General features: G+C 36.7%; 1 long non-coding RNA gene across 6 annotated transcripts in view, besides 1 other annotated feature; it reads left to right on the plus strand.

Moving 5' to 3' along the window:
* The window catches only part of LINC02718 (long intergenic non-protein coding RNA 2718), a 376,384-nt gene that overhangs the window by 48,960 nt on the left and 303,447 nt on the right, over positions 1-23,977 (plus strand). The window lies entirely within an intron of this gene.
* Positions 1,230-1,524: a silencer, noted in NCBI's record as "tiled region #14851; HepG2 Repressive non-DNase unmatched - State 24:Quies, and K562 Repressive non-DNase unmatched - State 24:Quies". NCBI's record gives its function as "represses a minimal TATA promoter and a strong SV40 promoter by Sharpr-MPRA in HepG2 cells, with weak repression in K562 cells {active_cell/tissue: HepG2 | K562}" and the evidence as "EXISTENCE:reporter gene assay evidence [ECO:0000049][PMID:27701403]".

Genomic DNA, 23,977 nt, shown 5'->3' on the forward strand with positions numbered 1-23,977 from the left:
TGTGAACCACTGTACCTGGCCAGTTCTTAACATTGTTTGCTAGGTGGCAGATGAAACCTGCACTTGAAGAGTTTTTTCAAATCAAGTTAATTCACATGTAAACAAAGCTATAGATTGCCTCACTGTTTTTAAGAGCCCAAATCAGGAAATGATTGCTAAGTTGATCAACAGAATACATGTTAAATAAGCTACATACATAAAGTGGGCCACAGTGCAGCCATTAAAAAAAAGATAGATTCAACTGTATATTGACATGGAAATATTTTCATGATATATTGCTGAGAGAAAGTATTGAGTAGTAAACAGTATGTACAGTGTGTTTCCATTTTAAAAAGAAAGTAAGGTGATGCAAATGCATCAAAAAATGTCAGAAAGTCTTTATCCAAACTGGTGTCACTGGTTTTCTCTGAGCAATAGAATTCTTTACTTGATGTCTACAGGGATGAGGATTGGAAACTCCCTTCTGACACATTTGATAGAGTCTAATATGAGTCAATTCCCATATGCATTTCCTTAAAAAAAACTAATAAAGACACAAAATAATACAATCTAATGTCAACTTTCTTCTATAGGAGTAAAGAAGAGGAAATTAATCACAGCCAAGCAAAGAGGTAGATGATTTTAAAGTCCAATGGACACTATCAAAATTCAGAGTTCTTGTGGGCAAAAAATGATAATGAAAGCATACATAAAGATTAGATGATATAAATGTACAATTTTAAATCATTCTTGCTCTTGCTCTTACCATCCCAAAGAGAAATTCTAGACTTCTGCAAAACTTCTTTCTACCCCTGATTTTTCATGGGTTTAGAAGATTCTTCATATCTCCACTTCACTAACTTTTTGTCCTGCCATATTGGACCCAACAGTTTTCCTGCGCAAACTGCTGTTGCTTTTTTGAGCACAGTGCACATGGTGGGGACAGTCAGAATTCTCTGCTACTGCACTATGTGCTGTGGTTTCTCCCAGTTAAGTCTGAGTAGATAGGAGGGAGACATAGACAATATAAATGCATACATTACGACCAGTTTAATTTAAATAAGGAATTTGTGTTGGAGAGGAATAAAATGACTTTTTAAGTATGTTTTATTACACAAGATATATATATATATATGTACAATCACAATATAGTAAAATATAGGCAAATCAGTAATGTTGAATGCAGGAAACAGAAATTGGTGCAAGTATTTTAAGTAGAAAGGAATTTAATACAAGATATTAGTTCCTTACAACTTAGCAACTATTATTGCTTATTGTTGGAAGGGCTGAAAGAACAGGTTCTGTTCCAGACTTTCTGGACTGATGTCCAAAAGAATACCAAGCTGATCCACAGAGGAGCTACTACTATCCCTGAAGCAGCTGCTAGTACTGCTGCCACAGCTGCCTCTCACAGTGACTGATTTTAGGAAGCCAGAGTAGGATGTCATTCTGCAGTTTCATACCCGGAAAAATGGTGCACAGATCTGGAATGCAGCTACAGGAAAGTCTCACATTTCTAAAATGCCAGCAGCAAGAGCCAAGAGTTGCAGGAACATGCTATCGTCTTTTCTTCATTCTGCCTTGCAGACTTTCTCAATTTTCTCAATTTCTCTCAAGTACTGGAAATAGATAATTTGCATCCAGAATGTTAGCTTCAAGAATATTAGGGGGAGTTTAGATTGTAGCTTTCCAAACTCTCCAAATCAAAGAGTGGAAAAGAGACTGAGAGTCAGAGTATATCTCATAAACAGAGAAGCTCCAGGTAGGAAAAAATAATCGCTCATAACATGACCATCCAGATAAAATATCTGTTAACATGGTCACACATCTATTATATTTTTCTTTCCATGTCTGTCTACCTATCATCCATCTATCTATCTGTCTATCTATCTATCTATCTATCTATCTATCTATCTATCTATCTAATCTATTCAATTTGAAGTAATTGTTTTTCTAGTTTAGTAGCCCTTCCTACCATTCTTTGGATAAAAACAGGATCCCTTTTTCATTTGGAAACTACCTCAATCCATATCTATGTTTTCCTGACCAACAAAACTTATCCCCTTCAATCCCATTATCCTCAAATCCTAATTATACATTATATGAGCCAAAAATTTCCTTTTTTTGGCCCTAATCATGTTTGACTATAGTTTCTGACAGTGTCATCTGAGAAATCCTAACATATATATGTGTATATTAAAGGTGACTTATAGACTAGGAAATGCTTTGCAGCCTGCTTTTTTCATGGATAAATATATCAAAATTTTTTCCAGGTAATAAGTTAAATATCTGCCATAATTATTAATGGCTACAAAACATTACAATGTTTGGATTTACCATAATTTGTTCAATTCATAATTTGTTTCTAACTTTTTTACTTTCATCACATTGAAGTTGAAATGGGTGTGTAAATTTGGACTACTTTTGGTTGCAAGTGACAGAAGCCAAACTTGAACTGCTTGAACAAAAAGGGGTTTTGGAAAGATATTAGGATTTCTCACAAAGTATGAAGAAAAAATACAGAATTTAGACCCCCATCAAGAACTACCAGGATTAGAACATGAAACTTGATGTCATTTGAATTTTCTTTATTGTCCACATGGAGAAGCTGGAGTGACCAACTTGTCCTGATCTTCCTGGGACTATCCAAGTTTTAAGACTGAAAGTCCCAGATCCTGGGAACTCCTCTTATCCCAAGAAAACTGGAACTTTGGTCATCCCAGCTCTGGAGTCTTATTTTGTCAGGCAATAGAAAGAAACATTCTTCTGGCAGTTCTAGTTGAAAGCTCCAATGAAGAAGTCATCTTCATTCATAGATCAACTGCTTTTGTCAAAAGGAAGGGGATTTTTGCTAGAAGAAAGGAAGTTTAGGCTGGGTGTGGTGGCTCACGCCTGTAATCCCAGCACTTTGGGAGGCCGAGGTAGATGGATCACAAGGTCAGGAGTTCGAGACCAGCCTGTCTGATATGGTGAAACCCTGTCTCTACTAAAAATACAAAAATTACCTGGGTGTGGTGGCAGGTGCCTGTAATCCCAGCTACTCAGGAGGCTGAGGCAGGAGAATCGCTTGTACGTGGGAGGTGGAGGTTGCAGTGAGCCGAGATCATGCCACTGCACTCTAGCCTGGGCAACAGAGTGAGACTCTGTCTCAAAAAAAAAAAAAAAAAAAAAAAAAAGAAAGAAGTTTAGACTAAGAAAACAACCTCTACTCCTAGCAAATAAAGGAACCACATTATAGTGGGCCTTGGTGGTCCTTGAGAAGCCAGACAGAAATATTCAGTTTTGACTAATTTAAATTAAAAATGTGGAAGATGGCAGAAGAGAATGAAAAAATGAAGTAAGTATAAAGGGACAATTGATTTGTTGGAAATTATGCAAGGTCAACTGAAGACTAGGATTCAGAAGATACACTGGGAACACGTTAGCAGTAATTCAGGTATGAGTTTAGCAGTACAAGAACACATGATTTTGGAGCAGAATAAATAAATGGAAGAGGAATTTAAATGCCAAAATCTCATAACTCATTGGTAGGACAAATTAGTTTGCCTGTCATGTTGATATTTCAGCATCCCAAAAGTGCATAGCATTAGTACAGTTCTGGTCTGAAACCATAATCCTTGAGAATTCCATCTGTAAGTTTTGGGAGAACAAAGAATGAAGACTTCTAGGCCCAAGGAAACCCAGATAGGACAACAGTCCCTTAGATTTTGCCACACTGAAATGTAAATCAGTCACACAAGGTTAGGGATTATCTCTATCCTGTTCTTGACTGTTCACCCTCAGTCCTGAAACAGTGCCCCACATGTAGAAGACTCTGACAGTATCGAGAGTGTTGTGGAGTAGTTAGAAGGGGAAGAGAATGGGAATTTAAAGAGCATATTATCACAGAAAGATAAAAAAGAAAAGGTTTTCCTGATTAGTAATGCAAAAAGTTTCCTTTGAAATATTTAGATTCTTGAGGAAATCCTTATTTGGTTTGAATCTATTGAAAATAGCTTCAATTGTTTCTTTTATTTGTATGTATACACAGTCATGCATATGATAAAATAAACATTTTTCTAAATCTTGGAAGAAATAAAATCATCTAGACAAATACTGTGGAAGTAACTTTAAAATGTCCATACTTGGACAACATCTTTAAAATCCTCTGTCTGAAGACTCCTTCCTTCCTCTTCTCTAGGGTGCATACATACAAACATGCAATTTTGTTTTGACTTCTAAGTCTTTGGAATTCCTTAGTATATATAAGTATATATAGACACATAGCTATTACCTATACAGAAAGGCAAAAGAGTGATAAGGAGCCCACATTCAGAATATAGTTTCCTCATGAGTGTGGGAGAAGTGGGGAGATGAGATGAGAGGGAGGAAAAGAGCAATAGGAAGTTCATGGGTGTAGATAATAGTCTACATGCTAATTTATTTGGTAAGCCCACAAGTGTTCATTTCATCATTATACTTCCTAATCTATGTGTAAATTAAATTACATATGTTATATATATTATATATATATAAAACAGCATATAGCAAACATTCATAGTAAAAAGTAAAAAAGTATATAAAATTAACATATATACATATGATCAAACCATTTATTCATATTAGTGTTATTGAGAGAACTCTTTAATGATGTATATTTTTGTTTAGAATGGTCACAGTCATGTATCTAAATAAATTAAATCTAATTTAATCTCTTATTCATGTTAGCAGTATTTTATTGGTCTTAGTCTTAAATTGATGCTCAAATTCTAAATATAGAAGAGGTTTTTGGTCAGGCATGGTGGCTAACGTCTGTAATCCCAGCACTTTGGGAGGCCGAGGTGAGCAGATCACCTGAGGTCAGGAGTTGGAGACCAGCTTGGTCAATATAATGAAACCCCATCTCTACTAAAAATACAAATAAATAAATAAATAAATAAATTAGTCAGGTGTTGTGGTGCATGCCTGTAGTCTCAGCTGCTCAGGAGGCTGAGGCACAAGAATTGCTTGAACCCGGAGGCAGAGGTTACAGTAAGCTGAGATTGCCACTGCACTCCAGCCTGGGCAAGAGTGAGACTCCATCACAAAAAAAAAAAAAAAAAAAAAAAAAAAAAAAAAAAAAAAAAAAAGTTTTTTTTTTTGGAGTCTGGCAAGAAATCGTATAAAAAGGAAAACATCCCTATTTAGGAAAATGTATGCTTTATTTTTACACTATTGTAATTTTTTTGTGTGTGTGATTGAGTCTTGTTCTATTGCCCAGGCTGAAGTGCAGTGGCACGATCTCAGCTCACTGCAACCTCAGTCTCATGGGTTCAAGTGATTCTCCTGCCTCAGCCTCCTGAGTAGCTGGGACTACAGGCGTGAGCTACCATGCCTGGCTAATTTTTGTATTTTTAGTAGACACGGGGTTTCACCATGTTGGCCAGGTTGGTCTCAAACTCCTGACCTCAAGTGATCCACCTGACTTGGCCTCCCAAAGTGCTGGGATTACAATACTCTTGTAATTTATTTCTATTATTACTAACACTTTATCTTCACCTTTTTCTTGAAAAAAAAGTCTTTTTTTTAACATTAATAACAGATGAGAAAATTTAAAAAGCCCATTGGACTTAAAAATAGGAGATGCGAATTTTATCTTCAATTCTGCCAGCATTTACTCTTAGTTCACTTAAGTTCTCTGAAATTCAGTTTTCATAAAGTAAGAAGACTGGACTGGATATAGAGAGCTATTGCTAAATTTCTTGATATTACATGTTGAAATATTTCCAAGTACAATTTTACATTCTCTCTCTATTTCTGTCTTCCCAACCTTTTCATTCTGACATGGTGTTTTATAGAGTAGTTATAAAAATTTGGAGCTTATTTTCTATAAAAATTGAAAGAATATAGAAAAAATGTTATCACTGGTCATCTTCTGAGGACACAGTGTTACATAAACATATCTCTTATTGATAAGACTGTCTTTCTAAAGTGTGTTAGCTGGACAAATGTTGTACACAGCAAATGATGAAAAAATGTCAAACATCTGGCTCATATTTGTGTTTAGTCTCTTTACTTTGTTAAGCAAATATTTTCAAAGAATAATATTTCCCAAGAGTCTTGTAGTTATTTTTCCAAAAAAAGAATGTACTTAAAGTCTGCTTTGCCTTTTGGATTCTTAGACATGTCTGCTTAGTGAGGGCAAGAAACCACTAGAGGAATGCCTAGGTAACTTTGCAATATTTAATTTCAGAACACATAATTTCATGTCATATTTCATCAGAAGTCGTGTCTGTATATAATGGGGGTGTTAAAGAGAAGTTGGCTAGATGCGATATTATTTTCATATTGTGTAAACAATTTGTGTGTCAAAGAAAAGAAATAAATAGATGCAAAATACAAGAAGAATTCTTTTCTAGCTTTAAGGTATCATGCTCTTCCCTTGTGTAAGTAAATAACAAAAGTAGGCCTTTGTTATTTTTGTTTACTTTAAATGTTTACTATCGATCCTGTGGACACTTTTACATACATGATCACATTTAATTGCGGAACAACTCTGGAGACTTCCGCTTTGGAGAAGAGGGAATAGATACAGTTTTTCCTATTCCTCCAGCTAAGTACAACTTAAAAACCTGGAAATTATGTATGAAACATAAGAAGACTCTGAAAGATGAAGAGAAGAAGGCAGACGTGCTAGGAACCCTTTAGACCCAAATAATGACACAGTGGTAACTTCTCTGTTCTCTTTTGGTTTTTGTTTCCTTCATATATCCCAAACTTGTAGCTGAAGAAGTCCACAACCTGGAAACACCAAGACAACCAGACAAAAAAAGCCCTGAAACAAAAGTTTGCTGTTTCTAGCCAAAGAATCAAGAAAGGAGCAGCCTAGCATGAAACAAACTTGTAAGCAATGGAAAAGAAAATTACCAAAAACAGAGAAGGATATTACATGATAATAAAAGTGTCAATCCAACAAAGAGAGAACATTCCTAAACGTGCATGCGCCAAACAATGATGCTGCAAAAAAATGAGAATCAAAAACTGACAGAAGTGAAAGAAGAAGTCAACAAATCAGCACTTATAGTTTGATACTTCAACAACCTTCTCACAACAATGGATAGAAAAGCTAGATAAAAAATCAACAAGCATACAGAATTCAACAGTGCTATTAACCAACAAGAAACAAGATCTGAAAACTTTTTTAGAGTACTACACCCCAGAACAGGAGAATACATATCATTTCAGGTACTAACAGACCATATACCAAGATAGAGTACAACTTGGGTCATAAAGCTAATTAACCTCAACAAATGTAAAATAATTAAAAACATACAAAGTGTGTTCTTTGATCACAATAAAATCAAACTAGAAACTTTTAACAGAAAGTGACTTTAACCATTCTGCCTGCTATAACAAAATACTATAAACAGAGTAATCTGTAAACAACAGTTATTTATTTCTCACAGTTTGAGCTGGAAAGTCCGAGGTCAAGGCTTCAGTAGATTTGGTGTCTGGAGAAGATCGATTTCTTGGCCTGTAGATAGTGCTTTCTTGTTGTGTCTCCACATAGTGGAAGGGTAAGAGGTCTTTCCAAGGCTTCTCTTATAAGAGTACTAATCAGATTCATAATGGCTCTACCTTCATGACCTAATTGCCTTCCAACCCCCCCCCCCCCCACCTAATTCCATCACCTTGGAAGTTAGGATTTCAACATATGAATGGTGGGGAGGGGGTTATGATAATTCAGTCCATTGCAAAAATATAAAAGAAAAATCTCTAGACACTTGAAAACTAGGCAACACATGTGTGTAAATAACCTATAGATCAAAGAGAAAGTCTCAGGGAAAAAGATAATACATTGCACTGAATGAAAGTGAAAATACAACACATTAACATTTATGAAAAATAGCTAAAGCAATGCTGAGAAGAAAATTTATAGCACCAAATGCATACATTAGAAAAGAAGAAAAGTCTCAAATTCATCATCTAAACTCTCACCTCAAGAAACTAAAAAAAAAAAAAAAAAAAATCAGGACAACGTAAGCCCAAAGCAAGCAGATAAAATTAAAATAAAAAAGAGCAAAGATCAGTTAAATTGAAAATATAAAACGTAGAGGAAATCAGTAAAACAAAGTGTAGTTTACTCAAAAAGATAAAATTGATAAACTTTTAACAACACTGGCAAAAAATAAAGACACATATTACAAATATAATACATGAAATAGGGCATATTACTATAGATCCTTCAGACAAAGGATGATGGGGTATCAGATGAACAACTTATATAAAAATTGACAATTAGGATAGAGTGGACTGCTAGTTACTTGAGAAACACAAACTACCAAAACTTATCCAATATGAAATAGATAAATTGAATAGTTCTACAACTGTGAATAAAATTGAATTCATAAACTTCAGACAATTAAAGGATGCTGGGGAATAAGATGAACAACTTATATAAAAATTGACAAGATAGAGTGGACTGCTAGTTACTTGAGAAACATAAACTACCAAAACTCATCCAATATGAAATAGATAAATTGAATAATTCTACAACTGTGAATAAAATTGAATTCATAAACTAAAAATTTCCAAAAAAATCTCCAGGACCCTATAATTTTGCTGGAAAATCTAGCAAATGTTTAAGGAAAGATTGGCACTAAAACTACACAATCTCTCCTAGAGAATAGAAAAGGAAGGAATGCTTCCTAATTTATTTTATAAAGTTAGTATTACCCTTATATTAAAACCAGACACAGACAGCACATAAAAGAAAACTAGACCAATGTCCCTCAAGAATACATATTAAAAAATGGTTAACATTATATTAGCATGCAATGCAGCAATATGTATAACTATACACTATGACAATGTGTGTAATGACAAAGTATGATTCATCACAGGAGGCAAACCTAGTTCAATATTCAAGAATCAATGTACTTTATTAAGAGGCTATGGATGAAAATTACATGATCATACCAATCAATGCAAAAAAGTTGGACAAAGTCAATACTCTAAGAAATATAGAAATAGAGGTGAACTTTCTTAACACAAAATACTTACAGCTACCATTATAGTTAATGGGAAAAGTGTAAATACTTTTCCTTTCAGAATAGAAACAAGGCAAGGATGTGTACTCTCATCACTGGTATTCAACATAATGCTAGGAGTTCTAGCCAGTGCAATAAAACAAGCAAAGGAAATTCAAAAAATACATATTGAAAAGGAGTAAATAAAACTGACCTGTAAGGCATCTAAAAAACAAAAACTTCTAGAAATAATAAGTGAATTCAGCAAGTTTATAGGATACAGATAAAAATACAAAAATCAGTTCTATTTTTATATTCTGGCAATGAACACCTGCAATTAAAAATATCATACTATCTACAAAAATAAAATTATAGTTGTAAATCTAACAAAATATGTACAGGATTTGTTTTCTGAAAGCCTCAAAATACTGATGAAAGAAATTAAATAATATCTATATAGTGATTTATACTATGTTGATGGATGTCTGTAATTCTTAAATTGATACACATATTTAGTACAATTACTATAACATCCCAGCAAGATTTTTGTAGATAAAGATATTCTAAAATTCATATGGGAATGCAAAGGCACCAGGATAGCCAAACCCATTTTGAAAAGAAAGAATAATGTGGGAGGAATCATTTTATCCAATTTCAAGACTTATTATATACAAAGCTACGTGGTATTGGTGGGAGAATAAACACATAGATCAATGGAACAAAACAAAGAACTAAAAACAGACCTACATAAACATGTCATATTGATTTTTGATAAAGGTACAAAAACCATTTAATGGAGAAAAGATAGTGTTGGCAATATGGTCCTGGAGCATGGATATCCATACACCATAAAATCAACCTCTACTTAAATTTTATACCATATACAAAAATTAACTCAAAATGGACCATGGACTTTAAATGTAAAGTGCAAAACTATAAATCTTTTTCAACAAAATATCTGAGAAAGTTTTAGGGGTCTAATGGTAGACAAAGAGTTCTTAGATTTGATGCAAAAACCATTAACCATTAAAGTAAAAATGGATAAACTGAACTTAATCAAAATTAAAAACTTTTGCTTTGTGAAAGACCTGGTTAAGAGGATAAAATACCAATTACAGACTGGGTTACCTTTCTTAACATCACACAGCAGGCAACATAGCAGAACTGACTTCATATTGAATCCGCTGGGAAAGAGCCTGTTTATATTTTTGTTTAGTACGTATGTGTAATTCAGGTAAAAAATGTTTTCTGCAAATACATAATGACTAGAAGTATTTTTACTGAATATTATGGCAGTTTCCCCCTTTATTCTTTATGCATGTGCACTGCATTCCAGCATTACTCTTCAGAAAAGTTTTGTAAATATTTTTATTTGGCTAGGAAATTATCTGTGAATGGACATATTTGTTCTGCTGCAAACAGCAATGTTGAGTACAAATTCTTTTTTGATATATATATAGCTTCTCTTTATCATTGACCATAGAAACAATAAAGACTAAACAAAGGGGTAATAAATTTAATAGTTCCTAGCCTGACATTAGAGCTAACAGTATAAAGGAAGCTATAATCATTTTTTTCATTTATACATTGTCCCCTCTCTCTAAATATGAGACTTTATCACATGTATTTCTTTATATAGCCATTCTGTTTTCCCTGCTCCACTCATTAAACTGTAAGACATTTCAGAACAGGGACTAAATATTTTTGTCTTCATAAGCTCAGGCTTAGCAAATTGCCTGGCATAGGTTACATAGTAATAAATATTTAAGTGAATAATTCTTTGTGATAATTGGACTGAAAAAAAACTAGACTATTCCATGGAATGATGAGAAATGCTTTATGATTGTTGCCAATGTGAAGATTCAGCATAAAAAAAATAGGTGCTGTTTAAATTCTCTTACTTTTTCTGCTACTTAGAACAACATTTCTCAACTGTTAGTTGCCTTGTTATAAAGACATCTTTTTATCAGTCTTTTAGTCAGTCCTTTGTGTGCTCCTAACAGTACAAGATGGAATTCATGTCTTTTTTTTCTGTTTATTTATTTATTTATTTTCAATAGGATTTTTGGGGAACAGGTAGTGTTTGGTTACATGAATAAGTTTGTTATTGGCGATTTCTGAGATTCTGGTGCATCCATCACCTGAGTGGTGTACACTGTACCCAATGGAATTCATCTCTTTCTATAGTCCTTTTTTTCTTCTCTTATACCTGATGTTAGGCATTCTCAGATGACCGGAAGTATAATTGGTTTTACGGCCTACACTAGTATATAGCAAACAGCATATACAAGGTATCAAACACAAAGTCTTTAGAGTTAGATAAACCTGCATTTGAAGACCAACTCTATCTCTGACCAGTCCTGAGAAATTACTTTTAGCCACAGTTTAGTTATTCATAAGATAGAATTTTCATAACTGTTAGAGATATTTAATAGAAAGCAAGGTGTTTGGCATAGAGGAGATTAACATTCAAAGGACAAATAGTAAAAATTATCAGTCATTTTACTCAATCTGATGAATAACACATTAATGACTGTTTTTCCTGCACATTATTACTACCTCCATCATTGTCTATCTTTAAAAATCAATTGCTATTAATAGTGCTGTGGTCATTCTTTACATAGGGGTTTATCAAATGTACTTATTTGAGATGAAATAAGCCTAGTGACTCAGGTTAAAGATTATTTTCTGGAAGAAGTAATGCCAAGAAATGAAAAGTTCCCGAAGAAGTTTCTATCCTGTGGGGATTATTTCAGTTCAACCTATTCCATTTGCAAAGGCAATTGCAGAATGTGTTATATAGGCATGACTATTGATTGAAGACTTTCTGCACTGTGAAAAATTTGGTTTTAAATGTCTATCTTAAAACCTTCTGTTTTAGCAGATATGCCAGCAAGTCAGCAGCATTTTCTGTGGTGCAGTCAGAATAGTTTTCAGTTGAATCTCTCTTTTCTTCTTTAGCATTTATCATCAGGGGCTACATCTCCATAAGGCATCTCAGGGTTACACCACCCATACAAAAAACGGTTTACATCTGCCTTTGGCTCATTTTTCTCCACATGCATGATTTACCCCATAATGTGCTGTGCTGTGCTCTGGGATCCTGCAGAAGAAAGCAGTGATGTGACTCATCTCCATCATGTGGATGTCCTAGCTCTGCTGCTACTGCCGCCACTTCCACCTTATTGCAGCACAAATATGATGAAGGGAAACAGGAGTTGTTGATGGTAGTGTCTAAGATGAGTTCTCATGGGACAGCTACCAAAAGGGTCCTTCTGCAAACAGGAGGTTCCAATTTTAGGCTGCATACTAGTATTAAATAGGTAGTATTAATAACAATAAATATGCCCTTTTGAATAAAATTTAGATTGTTTCCAAGCTTCTGACTTTGGAGGCTTGGTTATTTTTTGAGAAAAAGGTAGACAGAACAAGGATAGCACATACACTGCCATGTTTTTCTTTATTCCTGCTCAGTAGAGATTGGTGGGCATTTCTGGTTGCACATCCAAAACCATCTCTTCTTTTCTGGATAATAGAATTCCAAACTGTTTGGGAGATATGGTGCACAACCTCAGGTTATTTACTAGTGATCATTCTGAGACTGAGGGGAAATTAGATATATGGAGAGTCTGATGGGAGTATCTGGAAAAGGTTTCCCTTCCTTGTCAGAGAGCCATGTAAGAAGAAACCCATTTTGCCCAGGCCCTTTCTTTATGCCTTGTGTGGCAGCCATCTTGCAGCCATGCTGGGATTCATTGCCAGCAATCTGAGGATGGCTGAGAGAAAAGATGGGAGAAGTCTGGATCTTTGATAAAAATGCTTAACGGCTGCACCAACACCAGCACTTCTTACCTCTAGACTCCTGATTAGGTGAGATAGTAAGTGCTAGTGTTGCTTAAACTGGTTTTAGTTAGAGATTTTGTTCTTCCAGTGGCAGGTCTTCTCACTGATAGATGTGGTATTTGGTACCATCTTTGGTTTTTGGAGAAGACTGAGGTTTCATTTCAGTAGACTTATGTTGGAATGCAGCAAGATAGAACTGAGTCAGGAGGGTATGGATATTCTGAAGCATTCAGATGGGTAAAAAGTCTGCAGGTGAGTGTAAGATAATCTCCAGGAAGCTCAGAGATTCAAAGTCAAAGGAAACCATACCATCCAAGTATACCTAAGGCTGAGTCTGAATGGTAAAACGCAAAGATCAGAAGTCCCCAGATGGGAGAGCAGAGCAAGTGTATGAGTCAAGTGTGATAATGAAGTGTATTTTCTTGAAAAGGATAGGGTGCCCAAGGCTGGTAGTTATTGGATGCTTTCCTACCCCCTAATGAATGTTTGATCTTGGCTTAAAAGCACAACTTCAGAGAGATAAATGAGTCCATTTTTTTTTTCTAACATTTCAGCATCTTTTAAACTCTTAATTCCCTGAGCTCTGCACTACAGAAGGCCTCTCGTGTTAAGAAGTGGATTTGGACTGGGTGTGGTGGCTTTTGCCTGTAATCCCAACACTTTGGGAGGCCGAGGCAGGTGGATCACAAGGTCAGGAGTTCGAGACTATCCTGGCCAACATTGTGAAACCCCATCTCTACTAAAAATACAAAAATTAGCTGGGCATGGTGGCACACGCCTGTAATCCCAGCTACTTGGGAGGCTGAGGCAGGAGAATCACTTGAACCCAGGAGGCAGAGGTTGTGGTGAGCCAAGATTGCACCACTGCACTCCAGCCTGGGCAACAGGGTGAGACTCTGCCTCAATAAAAAAAAAAAAAAAAAAAGAAGAAGAAGAAGCGGGTTTGTGGGTATGTGAATGAAAAGTTCTGCTATGTGATTTTCTACAGAGTAGCTCCTATTCTGAAATCACCAGCCAAAGCAACATTCTGTTTAGAAAATGGAAAAATATGGTTAGGAAATGTTTATATGTTGTGCTGCAAGTAGCCAAGTTAAGAAGCCTTCCCTGAGACCCTTTTATGAGCCTGGTACTGGTCCAGTTACCATTGTTCAGAAATAACAGTGTCATATTGTATAAGGACCTTATAAAATTTACACAGAAAATCACAAAGGCACACTGTCTTTCTATCAAGCTAGCTTTTCTCTCTAGAAGCAATTTTTATTTATCAGATTTGGCACCTGTTGCTCTAATATATCATGAACTATCTATCCAGTTTCTCTTACAATGGGTAGACATCAAAAAGGGGCTGGCCAGCCTTTCTAAAGACAAAGACAAGAAGATTGACTTAGAAAAAAAAATTAAAAATATCTATCCAAATCATTTTCTAAAGCCTCCTGAAAGATCTGATTTTATGCCTTAGCTACTGTATCAGGCAGGGTTTTTAAGTGCATGCGACAGTAATCACTTTAGCTAATTTGAGAAGAAAATTTATTGAAAGATTGAGTAGCTCTTAGAATCTCTGAGAAGGGTATAAATGTTAAAAACTAGGTAGCCCATAATAATACCCCAAATCACACTGAAGAACTGGTCTAGTCTAGACACCACTGTACTCGCTTGGTCATAGTCACCACAGTATACTCTGCAGATATCATCAGCACTGGTCCATAACACTACTTTTGAAATTGTGATGTAGCTTATCACTTGTGTAGTCTTACTATAAATGACACTCTTTACAGAACAGACTCATTCCTTCTCTAGTTTTTGCATTACTAACATATGACTCAAAATCCCAAATGGATGTATGCAATTGGAGGAGAATGAATAATGTCCCTGAGCCTCAATTGCAAGAAAGGCCAGAAAAGTGAGAATCTGGAATTTTTCTTTCTTTAGTAGGAAATAAGATATCTCATTATATCGAGATTTCTCAAACTGGTGGCTTAGGGAGCATTTGGCATTGGCTGTAGACATGTCTTTTTTTTTAATTGCTATGCCTTGGCAGGCAATGGGGGATCAAGGGGCTTGCTACTGACATCTAGTAGGTAGAGGCCAAGGATGCTGCTCAACATCCTATAATATACATGACAACAAAGGATTATCTGGTCTGAAATATCAGTAGTGCCTCTGCTGGGAAACTCTGCTCTTAAAAGGATAGATAGAGCCCCAGATACATGTGGCCAATCACAAATATTGAAACAGTGGCCAAATTTTTCTTCTTTATTTGGTTTGTCTTTTCAGTTTCCATCCTTTGTTGTGATTCTATTTCTCTATCTTTTGTGAGAAAAGACGTACAAAAAGAAGATGTAATAGATCCACTTTTGCATTTCTATAAAGGAAAACCTGAGGCTGGGTAATTTATAAAGAAAAGAGGTTTATTATGGATCATGGTTCTGCAGGTTGTACATGCATGACAGCAGCATTTGCTCAGCTTCTGGTGAGGCTTCAGGAAGCTTCCAATCATGGTGGAAGGCAAAAGGGGGCAGGTGCATCACATCGTGAGAGAGAGGTAGCAAGAGGGAGTGGTAGGGGAGGTCCTGGACTCTTTTTAACAACCTTATCTCATGTAAATTCAATGTGAGAACTCACTCATTACCACTAGGAGGACATCAAGCAATTCATGAGGAATCTGCCCCCATCACCCAAAGACCTTCCCCCAGGCCCAACCTCTAACACTGGGAGCCACATTTCAACATGAGATTTGGAGGAAGCATGTATCCAAACCATATCAACTATCAACAAGGAAATTTGTTCACAGAAGTCAATAGTTTGCTTAAGAAACAAAAATAATAAATAACAGAATCATTACTAAAAACCCACAACCTACCTCAAGACTCATACTGTTTCCACTCTGCCATGTTGTTCTTCTGTAGCTCTCTGGAACCACAGAAAATATGTTTACAACATTGTTGTTAGGATCTTTTTAGAAAGTCTAGATGTAGCACACAAGAAATGAGGAATGAGTCCACAATTATATTTTCATCGATCATCCTGAAACCAGCTGAATAGATAGTATAGTCAACCTGCATCTCACTCCTCCAGATGAATTAGGAATCTCTTAACCCCCTTCCAGGAGAACTGAGGCCAGTGTCTTACGTGGAACCAAGAGTGAAATATGTTGAATTCACTGAATAACATCTTACTGTCTCTTCCGTCCTGGTATGTAAAAGAGGAGGATGCTAAGGCTGCAGTAGCATTCCTTAATGGTGCTGTAGGGCTACTATTTCCTCTATTCTCCTTTCACTCACTATTATGCTGTATCCACTATCTACTGGGCCCCAAGGCAGCACTGTTTTCTGCTGGACACATCACTGGGGGTAGAGAGGTAAAGAATGTTCTTCCTCCTGCCTGAAAGATTCTCTGCGACTTAGAGAAAGCTCCTATATGTCAACAGTTGCAAGGTCCAGAACAGGGAATTCATTTATAATGACACATTTTAGACATGCCCACAGCAGCAAGCCTAGGATCGTTTTGAAATGTGTCAGTGTCATGGTGTCATTCAGCCTTTGGCTTTGACACTAGCCATGGTGTATACGTAGTATAGGGTATTGGTCTGTAGCAACCAAGTTTGGGTGGCAGAAGCAATTTTAAAATCTCCCAGCCTCCAGGGGGTATATCTGAGCACTGATTCAGAGACAAGGAGAGAGAAAACATACATTTTAGACAAGAGTAAGACTTCATATATGGGGAAGGCTGCAGTGGATTAGAAACACCGGATCCTCTGATAAGCTGAGAATGTATGAATGCAAAGGTTGTGTTTCAGGAAATGTATTGCAGACTATTATTTATATCCTAAGTTATATAGTAGGTTATTTCAGTTCTCATATGTTGATGCATTTAATTATCTAAAAATCTGATGAGAAGATACTACACTACTTCCATCTCCATTGTCCAGAAGACAAGGCTAAGGACTGGAGATGTTAAGTAATTATTACAAACTAAGTAGTAGATTTATACTCAGAACCATGTAAACTCAAGTCCTGGGCTCTTCTTAAACATAACATTTTATGTTACTAATCAGCCCGTGTTTTTCTTATTCTGGTTGAGGGTATCATCAAGTTGCTCATTGTCTTTCCACCCTTAGTCATTCCACGTATGCATTTCAGAAGGGATTCATAGCACTAGCTTCACAATTTCTCCCTTGGACAACCACAAGAGGCATCCTTAAAACTCTGAGAGAAAACTTAATACAGTTCATACAAAGAAAGAAAACCCAGCCTCCTCACCCCTTGACCTTCCTCACTGTCACCAAAACTAATGTTTTGTTGTTTCTGGGGGGTTTTTTTGTAAGCTTAAAAGAAAAATAATTTATTGTTTCTTATTATCCTGTGGGTCCAATGGGCTCAGCTGGACCCTTTTGCTGCATACCGTGAAGGCCAATTTATGCATAGGGCTGCACTCACCTGACTGTTCCATCCAAGATGTCCCCTCATGTTCCGGGGTCTTAGTATTTTAAAGTGGTAATCATGACCTTTAAATGGATCTTGAAATCAATTTAATGGGCCAATTGTATTAGTCTGTTCTCAGGTTGCTAATGAAGACATACCCGAGACTGGGTAATTTATAAAGGAAAGAGGTTTAATTGACTCACAGTTCCACATGCCTGGGGAGGCTTCACAATCATGGTAGAAGGAGAATGAGGAGCAAAGTCACATCTTACATGGCAGCAGACAAGAGAGCTTGTGCAGGGGAACTCCCATTTATATAACCATCAGATCTTGTGAGACTTATTTACTACCATGAGAACAGCATGGAGGAAACTGCCCCCATGATTCAATTATCTCCACCTGGCCCTGCTCTTGACATGTGGGGAATTATTACAATTCAAGGTGAGATTTGGGTGGGAACACAGCCAAACTATTTCAATCACGACCTGCCTTAACTACAATTTAAAAAGGATTGACTAAAACATAGATGTGAGAGCATGTCACATCCAGTAACGGTAGTATGATGTGAAAGTTTTTCCATTTCAGCTCTGTATAATGTGGATGCATCTAAATGTAAAATAGCCACTGGTAAAGTATTGTGAGACCCACTGTAGAACACCGCAATTCACCATAATCTTGCCTGAGCTGAGGAGGGCAAGGAATAGAAGAATGGTCATCTTAGAAAAATAGGGTACAGAGGCTGGGCGCGGTGGCTCACGCCTGTAATCCCAGCACTTTGGGAGGCCGAGGCGGGCAGATCATGAGGTCAGGAGATCGAGACCATCCTGGCTAACATGGTGAAACCCCATCTCTACTAAAAAATACAAAAAAATTAGCCGGGCATGGTGGCAGGCGCTGACAGTCCCAGCTGCCCAGGCTGAGGCAGGAGAATGGCATGAGTCCGGGAGGTGGAGCTTGCAGTAAGCTGAGATTGCACCGCTGCACTCCAGCCTGGGCGACAGAGTGAGACTCGATCTCAAAAAAAAAAAAAAGAAAAATAGGGTACAGAGAAGGAACTTTGTCATGAAGTCTAATACTGCAAAAATACATTAGTTTAGAAAAATAAAAGACCACACAAACACACACACACACATTCATTCTTTGGTTCAGAGCCATCAGTAGCTTATTGGTGATCTCTGACACGAGGCAAATATTCCCTCACATTCATTCTAATTCTGCACATTTCATATAACCTGCTGAGAAAAGATCTGCCTTTCTGGGTAACTTTCTACTCAGAAGAAGCACCTTGGTTCACAGACTCAGACCTTCTTATCATTAAGAATACTTAATGGAAATGGAAATACTTAATAACAAATGGAAAAGTGTGGAATCCAGGTTTATCTTTGTCTCTCATTTGACCTTTGTTTGTGAAAATTGGCTATCAGAAGAAAATGTTATTTGGGGGAGAAGAAGAACATTATAGCCTCTAAGTGAAAGAGGGGCTCTTTCAGCACTGATTTCGCAGTGATCAGCAGAGATTTTGCTCCAGAAGCGGGCTTCACCTTCTTCCTCAGCCTCATTAGCTAGCTGCGCCGGGTTGTAAGGCTCCTGAACTAAACGCTGCAAGACAGGGTACGTGACACAAGTTTAGTAGCATTTCCTAGGAAGAAGCTAACAGAGCAGGAGAAAAAATGCTTCCATAAAATGTGCATTTCTGTACGAAATACAGAATAATAAATGTGAGGTGTAGCAATAGCACAACAAGCAATTTGTAGTACTTGGATATCTAGCAGCCCCAAGTCAGGGCAGAGTAAACCCACCTGATCCTGACATACACTGTCAGATCAATACCTGCAGATGATGTTCAACAATGAAGTTGCCAAAATTATACACTGCTTCCTGTATACATTTCTGTAAGCGACTATAAAACATTCAGAAAAGCTACATTATAAACAGTAAAATACTGATGATTCTGACACTAGTTGGGTAAGTAACTGGGAAATATTACTTGACCTCTTTAACTTTCATTTACTTCCTATCTTTAACTCTTATTTCCTCTATCTAAAAAAGCAATAGCAGGAGAGAAGGGAAAAGTGAAGAAATACTATAAAATGCAGAAAATATTGGAAGAATTAAATGAGGTGGTACACGCAAAGTATTTAGATATTATGTCTTTATTAGTAACTTATTAATGAAGGATACATGCAATTATTTTGATTATGATTATGTATACCTTGTAAACAATGCAATGAAAACCTAACCACAGCCATAAACTCCACACCCTCTCAACTCATTCATTCAGTAATTTTATTAGACACATACCTTGTGAAAATTCTGGATTCTAAAAATGCAGAGATGAATACAACATGCTTTCTGCATTTGAAGAGCTTGCATTTCATCAGAGGAGAAAGGCATGCAAATTAATAACTGTAATTAATATGACAGAAACTATAATAGAGCAATTACAGAATTTTACTTTTTAGGAGGCATACAGTAAAATTCCAGAAAGAAGAGGCAACTTTTTCTATTTCTACTTTCACCTTGGGTTGCATAATATTTAGGACATGAGTCAAGAGAGGCACAGAGCAAGAGAGGCAAGCTCATTTCCCCTACAAAACACACACAGGCACATGTGAGCACATGACTGCACACACACACCTTTTTATCCGGTCTTCCTGTTCTTTGTCAGCAGCTTCCCAAAACTTGGAGGAAGGGCTGTAGAACTTGAAGAGCCTCACAGTTATTTAGCATCTATCGTGTGCCAGTTGCTTTACGTACATTACTCAACTCACCGTTATTATAAGCCAATGGGGAATGGAATTACCTCACTTTTTAGATAACGGCTTGAGTTTCTGTGGCAACTATGGTTTTGTTACTTGGTGACATTCTCATTGTCATCATTCTTCTGATGACAGATCTCATCTGTCTGGAAACAGGAGATGGTCCAGCTAGGGCAATTGGAGTCACTACCTTGGATTTTGTGCTGGAGCTGGCAGTGAAAACTTCTTTATTTTTGACCACCAGTGCTATGTATGTAATCCCACAGTTGAGGGCAGTCTTGTTGATGCTGCAGGAACAGGTGAGAGAATGCAAGGAAATAATGTAAGGAGGAGATAAAAAGAAAGTTCTGTTGGTACTGAGTCCTCTGCTCTAATTCTTGAGGTCCCTTGGGTTGACCCTTAGGTTTTCTGAAGCACCCAGTATCTTTTCAATCAATCCTGTAATCTCTATGTCAGTATAAAGTTCAGTTTTTGTCAATTGCCACCTTAAAATCCTAATATAGAATATGCAGCTACTGTGGACAGACCTTGAATTTGAACTAGGTCTGTGTGACTTAACAGTTTAGGACTTTTCACTGAACTAATTCATAGTATGTTAATGTATGTAGGCCCTGGAATTATTTTTAGCCACCATTGTTTGTTCGTGTGTAGCTCTCTTTTCAGTCCATATCCTGTTTTAGATAATGTGGAAGTAAATGATGCAATTGTTCCCTTCAAAATATTAGGGAAAAAGTGGCATTTGAAATCTATAGTTTTGTTTTTTTTTTTAAATATTCGAAAAGTCAGTAGAGAAGAGAGGCTAAATATATGGGCTCAGGCACCAGTATTCCTGGGTTCAAATCCTGGCCCTTCATCTTATTAGCTGGGTAAACTACATCAAATTACCCAGCTTCTGTGTGCGTCATTTCATTCTTCTACAAAGTGTACATAATTGTACCTACCACAGGATTTGCTGTGAAAATTAAATTAATGCACAGGAAGCACTTAGAAAGTTGTCTAAAATATAATGAATATTCAAAGAATGTTGGTTATTTTTATTTTTTAAGTTGTGGTTGTGATATATATATCACATATATATATTTCACTATATATATATATATATATATATATATATATATATAGTGAAAACCTTCTTTAAATAAAATCTTACCTGAAAACTCAAAATGGAAACTAGATAATGGCAAAGCTGCTTTGGAAGATAGAATGGGGTTCCGGGATCTCACTCATTTAGTGTCAATTCCCCTTTTAAGGCATCTCTAATAGATAATAGGAAAATTTATTGAACTTTTACACTGTACTACCTCTACTGTGCTCAGTTTACCTGTATTTTTAAAAATGTTATCAGTGCAATGATCTTTCGGGGTAGGTATTATTATATTCATATACGGGTTTCTTTATTTTACAGATCAAGACACTGAGGCTTTTTTAGGGTCAGTAACTTGCCTAGAATCACACAGCCAGTAACCGGCAAAGTTAAGCCTGGAGCTCAGTTCTGTCTAATGGCCCTAACCCAAAGCCTAACCATCTTATTACATTGCCTGCCCTCAGGTATCTTAAGTACCTCATTTAACTATTACCATTTTAGATGAATGGGGTCATTCTTGTATCTTGAAATGATGACAAACTGGCTTTGCTTCTGGACTTTTCCCGGGAATCAATTTGTAGAACACATGTTTTATGTGAGTTTGGGAATCCCTACGGTATCAAACTGTGTAAAATGTGAATCCAAAGAAGCTGGGTCCATTGGAATGAGTATAAATGTATAAATAGTAGGCTATAGAAAACAAGCAAACACAATGCATGGATATAAGACATTTAATTAACAAGAAGCAACAAAATGCTTAGATTACTTTAAAAGAGTAAAATTTTAGTGAGTGCTTATTTTCTTTGGGTCAATGTTTAGCATCGTAATAAGCACAGAAAGCTATTGGAAACTCCTTTGTGGAAAGATTTCTACCTTCCCAAAAGCCAGACCATCCATGATATTTGATACTCGGCAACCAGTAGAATAGACAGTTTGCTTTCAGTCCTCTTGATAATCATTTATTCTCTTCTATAATGAATCCTTCAGCAGGAAGAAACTCTTCTGTTCTGCTGACCTCTGGTAGTCTTTTTCACACTGATATTTGGAAATGTCTCAGAAAGTAGGCACTGTCTTCTTTTTTTCTTCCTTTTCACTGCTACTTAGTCTGAAAGAAACTTATAGACTTTGAGTGCATCTTAAAGATCACAACCTCTATGACTGTCTCCCATCTCCCTGAACCAGGTCTAGAAGCATAATTGGAGGAAATTTTACAGGACCATGGGCAGAATCAACTAAGATGCTAATCTTGATAAGAGAAAAGATTTCTGATCAAGAGACCAAATTACTTAAAATGAGACATCTAGTGGATTAAATACCATTATTTTACTCTCCTGCTTCTTTTGAGCAACTGCTGGGGCTGCTTATTGGGTAAATCTAAATGGAAGCCAGAGAGTGTTAAAGCTGGTTGATGTAGTCTGTACAAGTCAGGCTCTGAAAGCAGAGAGTAAGAAGGAGATAGGTGGATAGTAGAGTGGATGAAGAAATGAAGGCTACCTAGTGTAGATGGTGTGTGTGTGTTCACATATACTTAACTAAAGTATATGTACACAGAGACACACATATACTTAATTAAAATCCACTCCTTGCCAGTCATTAGAGCAAACTTCACTCCTTGCCTGCAATAAAGGAATTTTCTATTATCAGTGGAGCTGACCTGAGTGGAAGGGTTTCTTTTGTATTATTAATACTTTAGATTCATTATAGCAATTAGTTATAGCTGTAAATCAGCCAAGTAGAAAAACAGAAAACTAAGCTAATTTACTCCTAGAAGCTGGTAAGTAATTGCATCAGATGAGATCACAGAACAAAAATCCCAGTGGCTTTCCAGGATACAATTTCTGTAATGACACAATTAGCACTGGCAGTCATAGGGGTTGAGGTACTGGGTCAAATAATCAGAAATACAAAATTCCTCTAGTCCTTCAGTCATGGATGATTTTCAGAGAAACCTGCACCTTTTTCATAGACTGGATCCATTTCTCTTCCACCTGTTAACTTCAGGGATCTTTAGTGGGCCTCACTGTATACTGAGCAACTGAATACTAATCATGAGAATTAGTCCAGCTAATTTATAATGCATATGCTTCCAAGGGAATTTGTAATTCCCAAGTCTAGGAGAAATGTGTCCCTTTCTAGATATCATATAGATACAGCTGCAGGTTTGCATTAGAGAAGGTATTTCAATGTTTTTCCTAAAGGAGACTAAGTTTCAAAATCGCATAGACTGAATTTGACTTCACTGTAACTGGAACTTTTAACATTTTAGAGCTTTGAAAATTGTCATGAACAGATATGCAAATAACTTGCCAAATGAATTATGTAAGAAATGAAATAGCTGACATTCCTCCTCTGTTTGAGGGTGTCAGAGACAACTTGGAAGCTTGTTTTTTTGAAGTAGTTGTAATACGTAGGGTATCAGCATCCCTGAAAACATGCCCTAGGCTGCTCTTGGAGGGAGACCACGAAAGGGAAAAAAACTCTTCAGCTCTGCCTCCCAGCCCAGACCCCCAGCTCCCAAGTAATATGGGAATCTCTCCTGATTTCAATCTTTTCGGGACGTAAGCCTGCTTATTGAAATCAACAGGACTATACGTGGTCAGAGGCAGGGAGAAAAATCCTTTGACCTCAAAGGGACTGATGTATAAGAGAAGTGCAGACAAGAGGCAGCAAAGGCTTTTGGAGAGAAGCTGCTGTTTGAACTCTCTCCTGGCTGTTGCGAATAAATGGCCAGCTTCCATGCTCTTAAAAGTAACGTTCTCCTTACTAAATTTATTCAGCGACTTCCTATGTCAGTGCTTTGGATTCTGCATCTCTGTGATTATCCTTCTATGAGACCCTGCTGTGAATCTAATCTCTACTTTGTGACTTGGTGATGACCTGGGCACCTCTGAATTACACCCTAGT

Source organism: Homo sapiens, chromosome 11 (assembly GCF_000001405.40).
Source record: "Homo sapiens chromosome 11, GRCh38.p14 Primary Assembly".
Classification (NCBI taxonomy): domain Eukaryota; kingdom Metazoa; phylum Chordata; class Mammalia; order Primates; family Hominidae; genus Homo; species Homo sapiens.